The sequence below is a fragment of the Homo sapiens genome, chromosome X (genome assembly GCF_000001405.40).
Source record: "Homo sapiens chromosome X, GRCh38.p14 Primary Assembly".
NCBI classification, from domain to species: Eukaryota; Metazoa; Chordata; class Mammalia; order Primates; family Hominidae; genus Homo; species Homo sapiens.
Genome location: NC_000023.11, coordinates 40,850,113 through 40,852,116, shown reverse-complemented (window position 1 = coordinate 40,852,116; position 2,004 = coordinate 40,850,113). Strand labels below are relative to the sequence as shown.

Here is a 2,004-nt window from a genome sequence, read left to right as displayed (position 1 = left end):
GTCACTTGAGGTCAGGAATTCGAGACTAGCCTGGCCAACATGGTAAAACCCCGTCTCTACAAAAAATATAAAAATTAGCCGGGTGTGGTGGTGCACGCCTGTAATTCCAGCTACTCGGGAGGCTGAGGGAGGAGAATTGCTTGAACCCGGGAGGCAGAGGTTGCAGTGAGCCGAGATTGCGCCCCACTGCACTCCAGCCTGGGTGACAGAGCGAGACTCTGTCTCAAAACAATAATAATAATAATAATAATTGCTTACTGTGTTTTTCAGATTCTGAATTCCATTAGGACAACTGATGCCAACCAGTTTGAAGACCCCCACAGAGGAACCGAATCAGCATGAGAATACAGCTGTTTCTTCTCCCTGTCCCATGACTTCACCCTGCACTCTTCAACCCATCAACAATTCAACACTTCGGCCTCCTCCAACACCCTTGAAATCCCTAGCCCCAAACTCCTCAAAGATATGAATTTGAGGTTCCTTTCCATCTCCTCATTTGGTGACCCTGCGATTAAACCTCTTTCTCTGCTGCAACCCAGTGTCACAGCCTATTGATTTGTCCCTCACATTGGGCAACAAACCTATTACGGTTACAAGTGAGGTTTCTTTTTCTTCCCCATCGTTTCCTACTCCTTCAACTTCCTTAAAGCAAAAAGGGCAATTTATTCCTGGGTGTTTCATAAAACACAAGGGCAGGATAAAGCGGGAAAGAAGTTAGGGCTAGAATGTTCTCTGTCCCTTGTTTCTGCCTCTTTCTTTTTCCATCTGCTCCATTTTTTTTTTTTTTTTTTTGAGACGGAGTCTCACTCTATTGCCCAGGCTGGAGTGCAATGGCACAATCTCGGCTCACTGCAACCTCTGCCTCCTAGGTTCAGGTGATTCTCCTGCCTCAGCCTCCCGAGTAGCTGAGATTACAGGCATGTGCTGCCACACCTGGCTAATTTTTTTTTTTTTTTAGTAGAGACGGGGTTTCATCATGTTGGCCAGGCTGGTCTCGAACTCCTGACCTCGACCCTCCCAAAGTGCTGGGATTACATGCATGAGCCACTGCATCCAGCCTGCTCCATTTTCTTTCTTACAGCAACCCTGTCATCCCTGTTTCCTAGTCTATATGACAGAAAATGGCCTCCACCAAAGGCCCACAAATTTAGATTTCCTTAGTTAGATAGAAGAGCTAAAGTGAGTTTAAGTGTTAAGAGTCTCTATAGACAATACCAAAAATGAAAAAAATAATAAAAGCCACAATTTCCAGAGAAGGATTGTGATTGGTACAGCTTGCCTCTAATCCCTTTCCTGGATTCATCAACTGTCCTCAGGGTGCCATGGGCACACTGTACTAAGTTAGTAGTTCTTAGGGTAATAACCTCATTACCAAAGTGGGAGGGGCAGGGGTGATTCCCAGAAAACCAGGGAGGGAGAAGGGAATAGGAACACACGAAGCAGATGAGCACATAATTGGCACCTATGCCCGCACATAGTGCTGGCTGTGGGAACCAGCACAGATGGTCCAAAGAAGCTCTGTCAGTGCTCTGTAACTGCAAGTGTTTGTTATGGATTGAATTGTGCCCCCACTCCCAAATTCATATGGTGAAGCCCTAATCCTCAATGTGACTGTATTTGGAGATAGGGCCTTTTAGGGAAGTAATTAAGGTTAAATGAGGTCATAAGGGTGGGGCCCTAATCCCACAGGACGTGTGCCTTATGTGAAAAGGAAGAGAAACCAGAGTGCTCTCTCTCACTCTCTCTGTCTCTCTCTCTGACTCTCTATCTCTCTCTTTGTCTCTCTCTTTCTCTTCATGCACACAGAGGAAAGGCCAGGTTGAGGACATTACAAGAAGGGCCGCTATCTACCAGCCAGAAAGAGAGGCATCACTAGAAACCAATCCTGATGGCACCTTGATCTTGAACTTGTAGCCTTCAGAACTGTGAGAAAATAAATTTCTGTTGTTTAAGCTACCCAGTCTGTGGTATTTTATTATGGCAACCCAAGCTGACTAATACAGT

The 2,004-nt window shown here is 45.7% G+C and overlaps 1 annotated feature.

Moving 5' to 3' along the window:
• Positions 288 to 855: an enhancer, noted in NCBI's record as "OCT4-NANOG-H3K27ac-H3K4me1 hESC enhancer chrX:40710515-40711082 (GRCh37/hg19 assembly coordinates)". NCBI's record gives its function as "activates a minimal SCP1, AML or CMV promoter by ChIP-STARR-seq in naive H9 embryonic stem cells {active_cell/tissue: H9 hESC(naive)}" and the evidence as "EXISTENCE:reporter gene assay evidence [ECO:0000049][PMID:30033119]".